The sequence below is a fragment of the Homo sapiens genome, chromosome 1, assembly GCF_000001405.40.
Source record: "Homo sapiens chromosome 1, GRCh38.p14 Primary Assembly".
Lineage (NCBI taxonomy): Eukaryota > Metazoa > Chordata > Mammalia > Primates > Hominidae > Homo > Homo sapiens.
The window spans coordinates 19,085,172-19,103,473 of record NC_000001.11 but is presented as its reverse complement, the minus strand read 5'-3'; the positions used below and the strand labels follow the sequence as shown (position 1 = coordinate 19,103,473).

At 46.7% G+C, this 18,302-nt stretch overlaps 1 protein-coding gene across 50 annotated transcripts in view, besides 1 other annotated feature; it reads left to right on the top strand.

Annotated features, from left to right (window-relative positions):
- UBR4 (ubiquitin protein ligase E3 component n-recognin 4) overlaps window positions 1–18,302 on the top strand; it is a 135,757-nt gene that overhangs the window by 106,793 nt on the left and 10,662 nt on the right. For all 50 annotated transcript variants that reach the window (XM_047416518.1, XM_047416514.1, XM_047416523.1 and 47 more), the window contains 14 exons: window positions 1,833–1,954; window positions 2,901–3,098; window positions 3,797–3,877; window positions 6,194–6,281; window positions 6,824–6,951; window positions 7,822–7,929; window positions 8,449–8,568; window positions 9,335–9,525; window positions 9,988–10,161; window positions 10,556–10,655; window positions 14,497–14,715; window positions 15,545–15,658; window positions 16,653–16,795; window positions 17,204–17,329. In XM_047416518.1, coding sequence (XP_047272474.1) covers window positions 1,833–1,954; window positions 2,901–3,098; window positions 3,797–3,877; window positions 6,194–6,281; window positions 6,824–6,951; window positions 7,822–7,929; window positions 8,449–8,568; window positions 9,335–9,525; window positions 9,988–10,161; window positions 10,556–10,655; window positions 14,497–14,715; window positions 15,545–15,658; window positions 16,653–16,795; window positions 17,204–17,329 — 1,912 coding nt within the window. The remainder of the gene's footprint in view (window positions 1–1,832; window positions 1,955–2,900; window positions 3,099–3,796; window positions 3,878–6,193; window positions 6,282–6,823; window positions 6,952–7,821; window positions 7,930–8,448; window positions 8,569–9,334; window positions 9,526–9,987; window positions 10,162–10,555; window positions 10,656–14,496; window positions 14,716–15,544; window positions 15,659–16,652; window positions 16,796–17,203; window positions 17,330–18,302) is intronic.
- Window positions 15,434–15,803: an enhancer, noted in NCBI's record as "active region_295". NCBI's record gives its function as "activates an Ori minimal core promoter by ATAC-STARR-seq in GM12878 lymphoblastoid cells {active_cell/tissue: GM12878}" and the evidence as "EXISTENCE:reporter gene assay evidence [ECO:0000049][PMID:35858748]".

The window sequence follows — 18,302 nt, the reverse complement described above, 5'->3', positions numbered from 1 at the left end:
CCTGCCTCAGCCTTACTGAGTAGCTGGGATTACAGGCATGCACCACCACGCCCAGCTAATTTTGTATTTTTAGTAGAGACGGGATTTCTCCATTTTGGTCAGGCTGGTCTCGAACTCCCGACCCCAGATGATCCGCCTGCCTCGGCCTCCCAAAGTGCTGGGATTACAGGTGTGAGGTCTCTTTTTAAAAATTCACATTTCCCTCCTTTATATGATCTATAAGCATATTAAACATTTGTGTCTGATAATTCTAAAATTTGAGATATTTACATGCCTGATTCTGCAGTTTGTTATTTTGGCTCTTGCTGATGATACCTTAAAGTCTTGTTGTGTTTTATGAGTTTTGACTGTGACCTCATATTTTTTAGCTTTATCTGTGGAAATTCTTTAGGACTGGGCCAAAGATGGGTTTCTCCAGAGGAGGTAAAGAACTGCTTCTGTGAGGCAGTGCAGGGTACTGCTGTCCCAGTTCTGAGCCTCAGGATTTTCAGACCTCCTAGGTAGTGAGAGGTTTGAGCCGCAAACCCCTATAAGGGGACAGCTCATTACAAGTTTTCAGAGGAGATTTTTCCCTGCCACTTGATGGTAAAGTTTAAGGAAAGTCAATTTCCTCAGTTATTTGGTTGGGGGAAAGGGATAGCTGATCTCTGCACCAAGGGTGTAGCTCTTTGGGGTACTAGATTTGTATTTGTGGGGCATGGGGTTGGGGGTTCCTGCTAGACTCTTTGCCTCAGTGGATTCGGGGCTTTATCCACCTCTCAAATCTGGGCAGGGCATGGAAACCAAAGCTCAACGCAAAAACTGACTCGTGTTTTGCTTATCTCCCTGGCTTCCCGATTTCTCTTAGTTTATGGCTTTTGGCTGTTCTGTGTTAGTGTGGCAGTTCACTGATGGATTTTTATTCAACACTTTAAATTGTTTTTGAGTGGTGGAGAGTGAGGAGTAGGTCAGGGAACCTCGTTTGCCTTATTGCCCAAAATGGAACTCTTTCTGATGCCATTTTCATCGTGCCATACTGAGCTGGTTTGTGACTTCGTCAGGGACCTTTACCTTTTTTTTTAATTTTAATTCAGACCCACCCAGTAATGCAACAGTGGGACTTTTTTTTTTTCCCGAAGTTTCACTCTGTCACCCAGGCTGGGGTACAGTGGTGTGATCGAGGCTCACTGTAACCTCCGCCTTCTGGGCTCAAACCATCCTCCCACCTCAGCCTCCTGAGTAGCTGGGACTATAGGCGTGTGCCACCACGCCCAGCTAATTTTGTATTTTTTGTAGAGATGGCATTTCGCCACATTGCCTAGCCTGGTCTCCAGCTTTTGAGCTCAAAGTGCTCACAAGACCTTATTTTTTAAAGACCATATTTTCTCACCTTCATGTTACTTTAAGTTGTGTTTTTTCGCTTATAGAGGACAGTCTACCTAATCTTTTAGAATGAAGCTAAAAACTAACTGTAACTTCCTTTTGATTTGACTGGAACACAGGATTATTTGACATTTTCTGAGTGCCTGTTTTGGGCAAGGAGATGCTAGTTAAATAAGGCACAGTCCCTCTCCTTGAGGAGGTTATATCCTGAGAGAGAGCAAGACATGTACACAGCCAACCATGATGAAGTGTGTGGACTTGGGTGTTATGGGTTTCAAACTGAATGTGGTCTGAGGATAAAATCAATCAGCATCAAATTTCCAATTTGAACTATTGATATTGCCATGTAGGGCATTTAAAGACTTACCAGGCAGAAATAATTTGTCAGTGATGGTACTTCAGTTAGAATTCTCATTTCACCTTCCATGGGAGAGGCTCTTTCCTAACTTGGCCGCTTTGATTTCTGGCAGGTACAGAATCAGAAACCAAGGCCTTCATGGCTGTGTGCATTGAGACAGCCAAGCGCTACAATCTGGATGACTACCGGACCCCGGTGTTCATCTTCGAGAGGCTCTGCAGCATCATTTATCCTGTAAGCAGTGCGGTGCTTCCCATGGCTCTCGAGTGTCAGCACAGCCCACTTTGCCATGAAGCCTCTTGGTGATTCATTAAAGTTATGGGGAATTGTACCAGCTGTGGGCCACTTAGTCATTAGTGAAAGAAGATCCACCGCCATAAAAGTGAAGCAACCTCATAATTTTCCTCTTGCTAACGATGGGACATTTAATGACCTTCCTTGGTCTTATTTCCTAGATTCAAGTAAAGAATCATGTTTTTTTAAAAACTAGGTCTAACCTCCATTACCAAAATCCCATTGCATATCAATCCAACATACTGTGGAAGAAGCGGTATTGAGCTTGAATATAAAGATATTTTTACTCTCTTCCTTCTTTAGCTGCCCTGTATTTTGTGCACACATGCAGCGTGTGTTTTTTTCCCTAGCCTGAACTGTGTAGAAGCACAGTATCATCCAGAGAACCCTTCCTGCTATTGAGGAAAGATGAACACTAGTATCATGAGCTAGCAATGAGAGCTCATTGGGGGTGTGTACCTGAGTGTCATGTCCCATAGAGAAGCCCTTTTCTTGACTTCAGGGTCATCAGTGACAAAGTCCTCTGGCCCCAAATTGGTTAGCATCACATGAGACCAGCAGGAGGAGGAAGGAAAGTCCCTCCTCGCACCCCTTCCCCGATTTTTTAATATATCTCTCATATGTCACTCCTTGTCTGCTTGTTTTGTTAGGCTTTATCTCCTAATCCACCCTGGGGTTTCAGGGTAGATGCTTGATATTTTAGTCTACTTGAGTTTGTTTAGATTTTTGGAAGTACCTCTGAGTTTCCTGTCCTTTGTATCTTTAAATGTTTGGGGGGCTTGCTGAGTTTGGTGTGTTTTCCTCGAGTGTCCATGGAACAAGGTAGCATGGTATAAATCTCCACCTCTGCCATCCCTTCTGATGCACCCTTCTGTCTGTCCTCCAGGAGGAGAATGAAGTCACTGAGTTCTTTGTGACCCTGGAGAAGGATCCCCAACAAGAAGACTTCTTACAGGGCAGGATGCCTGGGAACCCGTATAGCAGCAATGAGCCAGGCATCGGGCCGCTGATGAGGGATATAAAGAACAAGATTTGCCAGGACTGTGACTTAGTGGCCCTCCTGGAAGATGACAGTGGCATGGAGGTAATGACCATAGGACAGTGCTGCCCACGTTTACGATTAGGGGCTTCCTCCTAGGCTAACCAAATCCAGGTGCTTCTTCCTAGTAGCTGATTAACTTGGGGCAGGTGGCCTTCAGTTTCTCCACTCTGTAAGTTGGGGTTAATGATTCCCACCTTTCTACCTCACCTAGTGCTAAGGTTAATAACCTGTAAAGGGCTCTGCCCAGTGCCTGGCAGGAAGTAAGCATATTGTTAATGGCTGTTGGTTGTAGTGGTGGTGGGTATTTATTATCGTTATTGCCTCTGGCAGAGACTTCTCGGTGAGTCTGAGTTACCTGAGCCCCCTAAATATTGGCGTTTTACCCCCTGTGCAGGTTTATGTCCCCGTGTCAGTTACTTTCTGGCAGACCGTTGAGGGTCTGACATTTTTACATAGTGAAAAGCCTTTTCTGGTGCTGAGCCTGCAGGAGAAGGTCCCCGGTGGGTGTGTCTAAGCTGGAGCCTGTGTGTGGGTTAGGGACGTTAGCAGCCCCTGAAATTGTGCACAAAATTCTGTGTGTTTTTCATACGTGCGGATTTTTTAAGAGTGGGAGAGTTGATAGGTCCATGACATATAAAAATTGTGAATTATCAACCATTGCCGTAAGGTGCCCTTTGCTCTTGGATTTTACTTGTCTTACAATTATTTGGAACAACAGCTTCACCTGCTTTTCTGTTCAGCTTCTAGTGAACAATAAAATCATTAGTTTGGACCTTCCTGTGGCTGAAGTTTACAAGAAAGTCTGGTGTACCACGAATGAGGTATGTGCCTGCTTTCTCGTTTGGAGGTGTGGTTTCACTTTTCTGACTTATGCAGACTTGTACCAGCAGGAGCCATTGTTCATCATCACTTACCTGGCTTGTAGCAGCTCTCTAAGGCTTTACTGTCCCTGTTTGGGGTTGTGTGGAGAAAACCAATCTTGTTTTCCTTTGGAGGCATCTGACTAATGGAGGGACATTTAATGACCTTCATGAAGCTTCAGGAAAGCAAAAGCATTTTGCTGGGCTGTGCAAGTTGTCAAACCCCAAGAACTGAAAGCCAGGGGGTGTCGAAGGAGGCTCTGTGCTGGGAATGCTTGCTGTCTTGTTCCCTTCAGTATGGACACCTCTCAGCTGAGATTAGTTCTCAGCTTTTATGGGCCTGCTCGCTTAGTAGAACATTTTTCCAGTAGCTGTGTCAAGGAGCATCATTTCTGTTTTACTAGTTGGGGAATGGAGGCTCAAACAGGCAGTTATTCTTGAGGAGGGGAAAAGGGAAATGAAGGAAGTCCAGCGCTCTGGGCCTTTTGGCCACCACGAGTGATGCTGTTTGTCCACTTATGGAAGTATTAGATGGTCCCCTTCACCTTTCCCTCCTTTCTTACTCTCTGTTCCTTCCATTCCTCTCTTCCTGTTTCTTTTTCTTCCCCTCCATTTCTCTCTCCCCCTGCCATTTCTTCCCTTCTCTTGTTTCTATTGGGAGGAGAGGTCTTTAGCACATGAATCAGATAAGTAACTTAATTACAGCAAACTAGTGTAGCAGGGATGCACAGCAAACTTTTCTAGACTTGGTCCCAAATACTTCTGTAGAGTTTGAGAAACTAAATTGGCAGTATACTATTTGTAGATTTTGATCTTCAATTTGTTACATATTTCCGCCTCTCTCCTTTCTTTTCTCCCACTGGGCTGGGAATCCTGCTTACTGTTGACTGTTGGTCTACTGCCAGTGGGGTCGTTGTTGCACTGTTGGCTGAGGGACAGGCAGAGAACTGTCCCAGCCAGTACCTCTTGTTACAGACATTGTAGCATCAAAACAGAACAATACAGATTTAATCCCTGATGCATATAAAAAATTAAGACCAAGCTTCTGTGGGCACTCTGGTAAATGGTGGTAGTGAACCCACAGAATGCACCAGGGTATCTCCCTTGAATGGTGAAGCAAGATAGAAGTTGAGAATCATTTGCCCCTCACATTGATGTGCTTAATCCAGTTAGAAGGTTTTCTGGCAAAGTTCTGAGTTTGTGATAGCCTATGTTCTGGGACTTCAGCTTCCCTTCTCTACCTTGCCCTCCATTTCCCTGATAAGCAGCCTACCTCTGTAGCTACTGACTAGAACTAGAACCTGCTCTGTGTTCAGTGTCTGTGGTGGTTCTCTCTGAGGAATTCTCACTGGGCTTCTATAGCCGGAAACACTTCTGCAACTGGCCTTTCTGGCAGGTTGTCTTCCTCCAGGGTGTCCTGTCCTGAAGCTCAGCATAGACTTGGAGGCAGGCTGCTTGAATTAGCGTGCTACCAAATCCCCCACTGGATTTCATCAGTGGTTACTTTGAGCTCCAATTTCTAGTCTGCAAAATGAGAATAATATTAATATATGTGCTCAGTGCCAGACATACAGGGAACTTTCCTTATTCTCCAATTTAGTGAAGTTGCTGTAATTTTGTCATTTATAAAAGACTTGATTCTTATCATTCTAGTCAGATTGTGGGTTTAGCTTAAAGAATTGTGGATGAACCCCCTCCTTGTATGGTTATATAAAGACGTCTGAATCTCTGTAGGTAAAGATTGATGTACTCTCTTTTCCTGTTTTGATTCCCGAGGCTTGAGTCAAAGCTCTTTGATTTAAATGGCCTTGTTTGTCCTGGGTAGTAGTCCCTATTGATTGGAGACAGTTTCTACTCCTGAGGAAGGTCCAGGCTTGGAATTAGACCTCCGCTTATAGCTTGGTAACCTTGAACAAGCTGTGTAACCTTATGTAAAAGGATCATAGAAAGTACTTAATTAGCATAGGACCTGGCACAGAGTAAAACATTCAATAAATATTTGTTAGATTATTACATAGTGTTCTAATGAAATTGAAGGAGATAGTGTCTTTAAAATGTTTCATACAATGTCTAGCTTCTAGTAGACACAAAATAAAATTAGCATTCTTTCCCCTAAGTGAATTGCTGTGCATTTGGATTCTAGATGTTGTGGTTGAGACTTTGTAGAAAAATAGAGGCTCTCCACATTGCTGGGGCTTTAAGCAAGACCAAGTATGGAGTCCTTTGCATTTGTCTGGGCCTGTTTTTAAGTACCTTTCTCCAACTTTCTCTGCTCAGGGAGAGCCCATGAGGATTGTTTATCGTATGCGGGGGCTGCTGGGCGATGCCACAGAGGAGTTCATTGAGTCCCTGGACTCTACTACAGGTAGATCATGGCACTGCACATTGGATCTGAGGCTTGGGACTCATGAGCGGCTCACGTCCCAGGACTTAGGGGCATTCTCAGTTGCTTCTCTCTTGTACCTCTGCATCAGAATTGTGGGGAGATTGTTTCTTCAATTGAGGAAAAAAAGAGGTGTCTGTGGCATGATGCAGATACCACTGAGTGTTCAAAAAAAAAAAAAAGAATACCAGCAAACTTTTAGAGGAAAATGCAATGAACAGTAAACTGGAGTTCAGATTTATTTTTAACTCCCTCTCCCCCCACTCCATTGATGGTATTGGTGCTCATACTTTGACATTTGAGTAAGTAATTTTAATTGACTTGAAACTTTAAAAAAGCTCCTACTGAGAGTGGGACAGTTTAATATCATCCATCATTGACCCCTTTTATTGGCCGTGTCTTTATTGGAGATACGGAAAAGGGCTGTCAGCCATCAGCCAGGAATAGGGCTGTCTTATCCTGGCCTATTTTATTCCCATCTTCACCTTACCCTCCATTTCTGCTTGGCTTCCCTTCTCCCCTAGATGAAGAAGAAGATGAAGAAGAAGTGTATAAAATGGCTGGTGTGATGGCCCAGTGTGGGGGCCTGGAATGCATGCTTAACAGACTCGCAGGGATCAGAGATTTCAAGCAGGGACGCCACCTTCTAACAGTGAGTTGGGGGCAGCAAGTTGTGGGGGCCAGCCTTTCTGCACTGGGAGAGGCCCCTGTGGAAAGAAGCTATGGCCACTGTGTCATTTTACCCTAGAGGGCAGCATGGTGCCGTGGAGCAGTGCGAGCCAGTGAAGGACCTGGCAGTTAGGACTACATTCTTAGGCACACCTTTTCCCGTCCTGCTGGCCCACTTCCCTTCTCCAATACCTCTCTATAGAGCCAGCATCTGACTGTCTTTCCCCAAATAGCTGCACTTGTGTTAACTATTATCATTGTTGTTGTTTTTAAAATGGATTTTGTAATGTAACTCATTTCTTGCATTGTAGGGTTTTGTTTGGGTATTCATCCAACTAATCTCCTTAGTGAGGATTAGAGCATTCCAGAGAGGCACCACAAATACTACACTGTTATTTTCACTACTCCCCACCCCCACTCCCCCAGGGTTTATGAGAATATGTATTATTGTTATTATTGTGCCTTTGTTTTAAATGACCTATGTGGTTCTGAGCTCTCACAGGCCACGAGCTTTGGGATCATTTTCTTTACTATTAGTTTAGGGTCTGAGTTGATGCTGGGATTTCCCCCAAGACAACAAACAGAGCATCACCTCTTCCATTAGGAACTGCTGTCATTGCCGTTGTATTAGAGATGGTAGAGATATATCCCGCCATTGGAGCTACCAGCCTAATGTGAGAGCCCAGCCATCTCACCATGTCCCCTGAAGAGCCGCTTCTCCCTCCTGTCCTCTTCATTTCAGGAGGAGCCCCTGCTGATGGTGTAGACCCTGCTTAGACATCCCTTTCCTACTGGCCCCCATGTCCTACACTCTCATGTGGCCTCATGGGTTTTGACTGGCTTTTCTTGTCAGGTGCTACTGAAATTGTTCAGTTACTGCGTGAAGGTGAAAGTCAACCGGCAGCAACTGGTCAAACTGGAAATGAACACCTTGAACGTCATGCTGGGGACCCTAAACCTGGTAAGGAGCATGGACTGCAGGTGAAGAAGAGTGGGCCTTGGAAGTCTGGGTGTGAAAGACCTCTCAGTTCTGGGCTCAGATGAAATGGACTCACGGCTTCTTCAAGCCCTTCATCTCTCTGGCTGACTGGTGCAGAGGCTTGGGTCATTCAGCTGCCCTTCTCCTCTGGCTGGCTCACCTCCTGCCCCCATGCTGCTGCCATGGCACTCAAGAGCTTCCTTGCTCCTTTCCTGAGTTCAGATCAGAGATAAGAGGAAGGCAGTCCCTTAAACAGTCTAGACTACACACCAGTGGGAAAGAAGTGCCCCTCTCCTTGGGGCAGCAAAGCTGCCTGTCATCAAAAGCTCACACGCTTGTCTCCCTCTCAGAACATGCATATACACGCACATACATACACACGGTCATACACACATGGTCTCTGGGGAGTAAGGCTGTGAGGGCATCCTTGAGAGCAATTGTCCTCAGCAGTTAGTGGCTGTGGTCTTATTCTGAGAGTGACTGAGTCTCCTTCTCCTACAGGCCCTTGTAGCTGAACAAGAAAGCAAGGACAGTGGGGGTGCAGCTGTGGCTGAGCAGGTGCTTAGCATCATGGAGATCATTCTAGATGAGTCCAATGCTGAGCCCCTGAGTGAGGACAAGGTGAGTGGGGCTCGGCCCCTCCATCTGCAGGCACTGAGAGCCTGCACTGTCTCATTGCCCACAACAGGCCTGTTTGTGTCTGGCTTAGCCCACCTGAGAATGGCGGAGCCTGCTTAAGCATTGGAATGTTAGGACTCAACTAATGATGACATAATTGTATCGAAATGTGAAATCTTTGGATTCAGAGCAAGCACAATTGCTAAGGATAGTCTTTCACTCAAAAGCTGCTCGTTAATGGAATCCTGGCATGTCTCAGTTGATAGACAGAGGCTTTAGTCCAACCTTTCATTTCATAGTTGAGGAATTGAATAGCCCACTTCATTTCCCTGGACTTGGCATTTCCTCAGCTGTGGTACATAGTTGGTTACTGGTGGAATCAGGCCTAGAACCCAGATCTCCAACTCCCAGAATTTCTCTCCACCTGCTATGCCTGTAATTTCCTCCATTCTTATTGGTGCTAATGATTTGGCTAGAGCTATGACCAAGTGAATGTCCAGCAGCCTGCATTCTTTTACAGGGAGGGAAGATTGTATTGGTATATTTTGACCACCTGAGACAATTAACAGCACTGTCACAGAAATTTAGAAACGAATTTCTCAAGTGAAACTCCGACTGTTTGTTATTCCCCAAGAAGTGCCGAGACATAGTTCTTCTAGGGGTATTCCTGATGACTCTGATGGAAGTGGTGACTTTTGGGGCTCAGATGTTGGCTGCAGCCACAGTCCTGACTGCATTAATGGCATGTTCACCCTCTTTTCTGTTGCAGGGCAACCTCCTCCTGACAGGTGACAAGGATCAACTGGTGATGCTCTTGGACCAGATCAACAGCACCTTTGTTCGCTCCAACCCCAGTGTGCTCCAGGGCCTGCTTCGCATCATCCCGTACCTTTCCTTTGGAGAGGTGGAGAAAATGCAGATCTTGGTGGAGCGATTCAAACCATACTGCAACTTTGATAAGTATGTTACTTTGATTTCATATAGTGAAATGAGAGTCTCCACTAAAACGCCGAACTAGGTCTGTGAGATGAGGAAGAATCCTCTGAATACCTATTAGATTTTTGTGTCCTCGTTCTGGCTTTTAAGGAGCTCAGTCTAGTTGGGAAGTGAATAGTTAAAATATACTGTATTAGAGTAGCAATTGGCTAGTCAGAGAAGGCAAAGTGGTTGGTGAGATGGGAGGAATATGACGAGATGGAGCCACGTGTGCGCAAATGTGAGTGCAAGAGAAGGCTGTGAGCGTGGGAGACATAGCAGGTAAACAGGGAGAGTGGCAGGAGCCGGGGCAGATAGGTCTTTGTGTCACGTTAGGGAATTTAGCCTTGATCTTCTATAGGCTGTTGACAGTTGTTAACCAAGAGGGTGACATGACTGGGTTTTGTCCCGCCTTTCACACCCTCAAACTCTGCTCTTTCCTCCTAGATATGATGAAGATCACAGTGGTGATGATAAAGTCTTCCTGGACTGCTTCTGTAAAATAGCTGCTGGCATCAAGAACAACAGCAATGGGCACCAGCTGAAGGATCTGATTCTCCAGAAGGGGATCACCCAGAATGCACTTGACTACATGAAAAAGCACATCCCTAGCGCCAAGAAGTATGAAGCCCTCCCGCAGCGGGGCTGCTTTGCCTTCGCTTTGCCCTTTCCTTTTCCTTCTCCATCAGCATCTTGGCATAAAGCTTCACGTGTGCCCCTTGCCCTCCTTGGGGCCTCCCAACCGCTTCTGGAAACTATGTGGGTGACCATTCAACCACTGCAGAGTCCTCGGGGCTTGCCGGAAAAGGATGGCAACTTTTTGGTTTCTACTTAGAGTACTCACTTCTTTCTGGCTTTTCAGCTGAGCTGGGTGGTTCTATGTGATTCTTTATGACACTCGGAGAGGGTCACGGTTAATCATGCCCTGGGGGTTTAAACAAGCCAGAGTCAACAACTGGTTTCTAGGTAGCCTTTGCTTCCCTGGCCTGCTAATAAGCCTTCCTTTGCTTTGCAGTTTGGATGCCGACATCTGGAAAAAGTTTTTGTCTCGCCCAGCCTTGCCATTTATCCTAAGGCTGCTTCGGGGCCTGGCCATCCAGCACCCTGGCACCCAGGTGGGTAGCCAGGACAGGTAGTGTGAGGGTACAGGGGTACAAGTATAACTACCCTAGTTTACCTTGAGACATGACTTACCCTAATATATGAGACTTCTAGAGTAGAAGTGAGCCTCAGAAGTCATCTACTTCATCTATGTGTGCTGAGAGAAGTAAGTTGTATTTGTGATTTCCTCATTCAACTCATTCTTAAGTGGGGCTTCATTGTCTAATGGGTCACCTGTGCAACTGTTGAACTGTGAGGGATTGGCTGACCAGAGAGTAAAACACTTGGGTGTCTGGCCACAGTCACTAGGACACTTATATTACCATCACCTCTATCTTCTCTGCCTCAAGCAGCTGAACCCCTTGTTCTTAGGGAGTCCCACCCATTCCACTCCGCAGCTCATTCCTGATTTCTCCCCACAGGGCTGAGCGTTAACCCCTCACAAATCCAATCCTAACTGGCCCTGGATAGATGGCCAGGGCTGGGTTTTTTTTTTAAATCAAAGTTTTAATTTGGAGATTATTATAAATTCACATGCAGTTGTTAAGAAACAATACAGAGAAATCATGTGGGTCCTTTCCCCACTCTCCCCCAGTGGTAACATCATGTGGAACCCGAGCACACACCACAACCAGGATATAGACATCAGTGCCATCAGGACGCAGGGCAGGTTCATCAGCACAAGGGTCCCTCTTGTTGGCCTTTTGTAGCCACATCTATCTTCCCCTGCTCCCCTGCCACAAGCCCCTGGCACCCACCGATGTGTTCTCCATTTCTGTAACTTTGGCATTTCAAGAATGTTGTATAAATGCAGTTGTACAGAATGTAACCTTTTGGGATTGTCTTTTTTTTTTTTCTCAGCATGATTTTCTGGAGTTTCATCCAGGTTTGTTTAACTGTTCACCCATTAAAGGACACCTGGATTGTTGCCAGTTTTTGGCTGTTATTTATAAAGCTGCCATGAACACTTGTGTGCAGGTTTTTGTGTGAATATAAGTTTTCATTTTTCTGGGATAAATGCCCAAGAGTGCAGTTGCTGCGTTGTATAGTAGTTGCATATTTTGTTTATAAGAAGCTGCCAAACTGTTCTCTAGAGTAGCTACAGCATTTTACATTTTACATTTCACCGGAAATGTATGGCTGCTCCAGTTTCTCTGCGTCTTAGCCAGCATTTGGTGACTATTTTTAGTTTGAACTGTTTGGAAGATGTGCAGTGATTCCGTGTGGTTCTGCGTTTTCCTAGTGGTTCATGATGTTGAACGTCTTTTCATGTGCCCTGTGTATCTTCAGTGAAATGTCTGTTCATGTCTTTTGCCCAATTTCTAACTGGATTGTTTGTTTTTTAATGTTGAGTTTTGAGAGTCCTCAGCATTGCGTTTTTTCTGTTTGTAGTGTTCTGCATTGAAAATAGTTCCACTGTCTCATTTGGTAATCTGTTTCGGTAACTCATTCCAAAAACATGGTAACTTGAGTACAGTAAAGATTCTTCACTGTGTCTCACTGAAATCCCTTTTCTAAACTTCTGTTCAACTCAGTGGAGTCATAATTGTATATATTTGTGGAGATACTTTTTCCTGCATAGGAATTTCACATGTATTGTTTTCCATATCCTTGTAACATCTCTCTTTTGTATATGGATAAATCAAGGAACACGGTTGTGATTTGGCCAAAGGCAACACAATGAGTTTGGAACTCAAAGTCAGCTGATTTCCAGGCTTATTCTTTTTTTTTTTTTTGAGATGAAGTTTTGCTCTTGTCACCCAGGCTGGAGTGCAGTGGCATGGTCTCGGCTCACTGCAACCTCTGCCTCCCGGGTTCAAGCGATTCTCCTGTCTCAGCCTCCCGAGTAGCTGGAACTAAAGGCACCTGCCACCACACCTGGCCAATTTTTTGTATTTTTAGTAGACTCGGGGTTTCACCATGTTGGCCAGGCTGGTCTCCAACTCCTGACCTCAGGTGATCCGCTCCCCTCAGCCTCCCAAAGTGCTGGGATTACAGACGTGAGCCATTGTGTCTGGCCATCCAGATTTATTCTTAGTTACCAAATTGAATTACTTTCTTTAGAATAAGGCTTTATCTAGTTAGATACTTGGCATTTATGCTATGGCCATTCATTTTTCTTGCAACACATCTTGTTGTGTAGCTGGTCCTGTGTTAGACTGAGGAGACAGCTGTCGCCTGTGCCTGTTGGGAGCTTACTGTCTGGTGGAAGATAGAGCCAAATACAGAGTAGTAACTAAACAGCGAGATAGATGCAGTGTGGAAGGGGCCTCAGGAAATAGGATTGTTAAGTAGAGGGCATGGCACCTGCAAAGGTTCAGAGGCCAAAGAGAGCTTAAAGCCTTCCAAGAATTGAAAGCAGCTGCAGTCGGAGGCGAGGCATGGCAAGAGCTGCCGATGGAGATCCAAGCAGGGGAAAGGCATGTTCTTTCTCCCAGAAGAGGAGTGTGGGTTTTCTCCTGAGGGCAGTGCCCTGGCCATATTACAGAGAGTGAATTGAAGGGAGGTGAGATTGGAGGTAGGAAGAACAGTTGACAGGCTTTTATCGTAATTGAAGTGAGAGAAATGGCAGCTTAAACTAGTTCATGGATAGATTCAACAGAGATTGAGCTGGGAGGAAGAATAAATGGGATTTGGAGAGTGACCGAACGTGAGAAGCTAAGAAGCTGAATGAATCAAGAACCTGCTCAGTTTCTGGAATGAGTGATGAGGTGAATGGTGGTGCCACTGAGATGGAGAAGATCAGAGGTTTGCGAGTAAGGTGGAGGAGAGTTCATTAGACTATGCTATGAATGTATGGTCTGTCCTATTAATAACTAGAATGTAAGTTAAATGAGAGCAAGGTCTTTGTTTTCCCAGCACCGAAAACACACATGTGCAAGCATGCACACACAGTAAACAGCCAGAATGTTGAGTTTGGGGTACCTGTGGAAAAGCTCAGTAGGAGTTGAAATATGGGCTCAGCATTTAGGAGCATGAGACATGAGGGAATAGGTAATTTCGCTGAGACACAGATTGGAAGTGGACTTGCTGTGAGAACAGATTTATGAGCTACTGAGTGATCTGCTGGCTGTGTTATTTTCAGCCTGTTGTCTCATATGTAATCATTGCTGTCAAGTCACTTGTGACAGGTTGGTGAGGATTTCAGGGATGTGGTAATATTTCTCAGTGAGCTCACCTGGAGTGCTTTTTCCAACTACACCTGTCTTTAGCCTTCTGATGTTCTCCACCCCCGTTTATCACATAGCGCTATACGTAGTGACTTCCAGCTTTTTCAGGCACAGAGGTTTCTTGTTAATATCTTTTTTGTTGTTAAAGTTTTTCATGTCCATACCTGCTTGTAGTCATTGCACCTCTAGTATCCCTAGCCTGAGAAAACTGTGCTCCTAGGTTTGGTGGACCCAGGGGCTCCCGTGGAGAACTCAGGGCAGGTCCTTAGGAGAACGTCCAGTGCCTGCTCTGGCTGCTGGTTCACCACTCAGTACACATCAGGTGTTGCTGCTTGTCTTACCAGAATACGGGGATCTTCTCCTGGCCCCTTTCCACATCCTCTGTGATGGATGCTTTGCATATGTTATCTAGTTTTTAGTCATCACAGCAGCCCTTGCACTATCCCCATTTTATAGATGGAAATACTGAGCTTAGAGCATAGGAATTGGTCAGAGGCAGTGGCAGAGCCAAACCCTCTTCCATTTGTCTGTGTCTGTCAAAGTGTGGAATCAAAGGACCTGATTGCAGCTGAGCAGGTGACATGAGATGGTGCATGCTGGTTGAGTTTCTAAACCTTTAAGCTCCCGGGAAGAAGGTTTGTCTACATAATTGGAGGCATGTGTCTCTCTGGTCTCTTACTGGCAGGTTCTGATTGGAACTGATTCCATCCCGAACCTGCATAAGCTGGAGCAGGTGTCCAGTGATGAGGGCATTGGGACCTTGGCAGAGAACCTGCTGGAAGCCCTGCGGGAACACCCTGACGTAAACAAGAAGATTGACGCAGCCCGCAGGGAGACCCGGGCAGAGAAGAAGCGCATGGCCATGGCAATGAGGCAGAAGGCCCTGGGCACCCTGGGCATGACGGTAAAGCTACCACCTAGAGTCCCCATATTTCTGCCCACACTGTTGATGAGGAGGTGGCCATGGGACAGCCCTGGGGTTGGCCATGGGGAAAGAGAAGGCTGGACAGAGTAGGAGGAAGGAACTAGGTGTGTTCGGCCCTCTCAGAGGTGGAACTACTATCGTTCTATCATACAGATGAGACTCGGAGTAAGTGACTTACGAAGTTTACCAAAACAGTAAACCAGTGATAATAGCCATTAAGTTTATTGAGGACTTATTTAAGCCCTCAAGTAGTTCTAGGAGGTTGATATTGTTATACCCATTTTCCAGATGAAGTAACTGAAACTGAGAGGTGAAGTAAATAGGCCAAGGCACATAACTAATAAGTGGTTGACACAAAGGGTTCTGTGCTCTTCTAACTGTCCCACCTTGGAGGAAGCAGAGTCCTACAAGCTCCTTTTCCAAAGCACAGACTTGAGTGTCAGCAGTTGAAAAGCTCACCTGGGAACAGTGAATGAATCATAGTGCAACAACCCTTGGAAGCTGAGACTTGGCATTGCTGGCACGAAGATGCTGGCATGAAGAAAGGGGGCTTTTCTGATGGCAGGTGGCACCTTGCCAGGGCTCCAGCTGGATGACTTCCTTTGCTTCAGTGGTTCCTGTAGGAAGAGAGAATAGCAGAAGGGCCTGGGTCTTTATCCTTATTAGAAGACAGCTCAAGGGCTTTCCTCTCATGCACCTGTCCTTTTAGTGGAGGTAGAAGGTTAGCCCTGTTCCTGAGCATCTCCAAGCTAGGGTGGGAGAGGGTGTGTGGAAATCCCCTTGACATGCCACCGGGGTTCCCCTACAGACAAATGAAAAGGGCCAGGTCGTGACCAAGACAGCACTCCTGAAGCAGATGGAAGAGCTGATCGAGGAGCCTGGCCTCACGTGCTGCATCTGCAGGGAGGGATACAAGTTCCAGGTACAGCTGCTGGGCCTACGGTCGGTCCTGAGGGCCCAGCCTGACCCCTTGTTCTAGGTAGCATCCCCCTCCTCCAGGCCATTTTGTTCTTAGCTAGGCAAGATCAAGGCCTGCATCTTAGGAGATTAACAAAAGGACCAGCTGTCCTCTTTAGAGGCAGGAAGGCGAGCTCATCCGAACTTTAGACTTTGTTATCTTTATCATCATCATGACAAATGCTGCTCATTGGATTCTTCCTATATGTGAGGCCTCATGCTCAGAGCTTTGTGTAAACTGGATAATTTTATTTAAACCTGTAAAAAGTCTCAACTTGTGGTTAAGCAAACAAAGGTCACATGGCAGAGCCAGAATTCCAGCCTAGGCTTCTCAGACTCCAGACCTGGGCTTTTAAAAACATACCATGCTGCCTCCATTCAGGGTAACTGGGGAGAAAATCAGAACTTTCTAGGCTTATCCAAACTAGATTCCACCTGAAAGGAGCAGAGCAGCCAGTGACCTGCTGGCTCTCCTGAAGGCTCAAAGGTGGCCTCTTCTTTCCAGCTGGAACTTACTGCTTAGAATACAGGCTGTGAAAGGGCAGGTGCCTGGGCCACAGGGCTCGTTAGTCCTGCGTAATGCAGGCTCTTCAGAGCTGCCCAGCAGGTTTTGAAAAGCAAGGGAATATCAAGAAGTCACTTCTGCATTTTCAGACAGATGAAGCACAAAGTAAAGAAAGATGGCCGAGGCTTGCTTATGTGTATGCCTCTGCATCTGCACCGCATCCCCTTCTTGCTGGTTGCTCCCATAATCCTTGTTTCACTAGGGCTGCGGCCAGCCAAGTGCTTCACCAACAGACTGAGGGGCTGGCCTTACCTGCTCTTCTGAACTTCCCTAGTGAGAGCAACCTGAAACCCAAGGCATTGCCCAAGAAGGGCGGCAGTTCCCCTCTATTCTGCTTCTCCTGAGCCTGACTTGGAGTTTCTCCTCCCCTCTCCTTATGTTGTCGTCTTTGCAGCCCACAAAGGTCCTGGGCATTTATACCTTCACGAAGCGGGTAGCCTTGGAGGAGATGGAGAATAAGCCCCGGAAACAGCAGGGCTACAGCACCGTGTCCCACTTCAACATTGTGCACTACGACTGCCATCTGGCTGCCGTCAGGTAGGCCCTGGCTCTTGCGGAATGGCTCCTTCAGTAGGCCTGCCTGTGGGCCTGGAGCGGGTGGGACTGCCATCCTCGTGGTTTTAAATCTGCTCCTTAGTCTCTGGAGAGTAGGGTGTTCTGCCTGACACCATATAGGTCCCCAAGCAGTTATTTGAATGATAGGAAAATATGCTTTGGCCTGGGCCCAAGGCTAGTGAGAACAGCCCTGCCTACCTGAGTCAGCAAAGCCAGTGTGTACCACATTGAGGCTACAAATAGCAAATTCTCTTCGCAGGGTCAGGAGCCTGGGCCGACTGACTTCTTAGTGTTGGCATGCCCCCACCCCCACCCCCGCCCCCCCGCCCAGGTGCCTGGTTGCCACGTTAATGCCAGCAGTCGCTTGTCCCTGCTCTCCTCCCTATCCAGGTTGGCTCGAGGCCGGGAAGAGTGGGAGAGTGCCGCCCTGCAGAATGCCAACACCAAGTGCAACGGGCTCCTTCCGGTCTGGGGACCTCATGTCCCTGAATCAGCTTTTGCCACTTGCTTGGCAAGGTGAGTGTTGAGTATTTTTCATGGTGGAATGGAGGGGATTTGCAGGGGATGGGACAAGACCCGCTATCAGCCCAATCCCCTGGTGACACCATTTCCTGTTACCTTCCTTGGGAATCCATGTCTGTCTGCTTGCTGACTGGGGAGCTGTCCAGAGCATACAGGGTGGGGGATGGAGGCTTACTCAAGGGGTGACCTGACATGGCCCACCACAGGGTGGGAGGAACCAGCACCCTTAGCTTCCAGGGTACCAGATGAAATTTCTGGGTCTTCACTATTCCTTTGCTGATCTTATGACAGAAGATGTGGGGCCAACTTGGTCCTTGAGGCCAGAATTTCTGAGTTCACTTCTACAGTGTGTGGCTCTGAGGTTTAAATACGAAAGTGGCTTAGTGGCAGGGGGGATGTTGGGCTCCTTAGAAGGCCTTCCTGGTCCTAAAAACCCAGATAAGAATAGCTAAAGCATCTGTGAGGTCCTCATGTCTTGCTGATGCCTTGTGGAGTGGTGCCCCACCCCAAGTCCTATTTCAAAGCTCAGGGATAAAAAGATGCCTGTCATAAAACAGGCAGCTGGCAGTGACAATGGAGAGCATGTTGAAATGCTTAACCTCTATTCTTTTGTTTTGAGACAGGGTTTTGCTCTTGTCACCCAGGCTGGAGTGCAGTGGCGTGATCTTGGCTCACTGCAGCCTCCGCCTCCCAGGTTAAAGCGATTCTCCCGCCTCAGCCTCCCAAGTAGCTGGAATTACAGGTGCCTGCCACCATGCCCAGCTAATTTTTGTATTTTTAGTAGAGACGGGGTTTTGCCATGTTGGCCAGGCTGGTCTGGAACTCCTGACCTCAGGTGATCCACCTGCCTCGGCCTCTCAAAGTGCTGGGATTACACGTGTGAGCCACTGTGCCCGGCCAGGCATGTATTCTTGTATACATTGTACAGATGAGATGCAGAGTTTGAGCAACTTGCTCGAGGTCACCC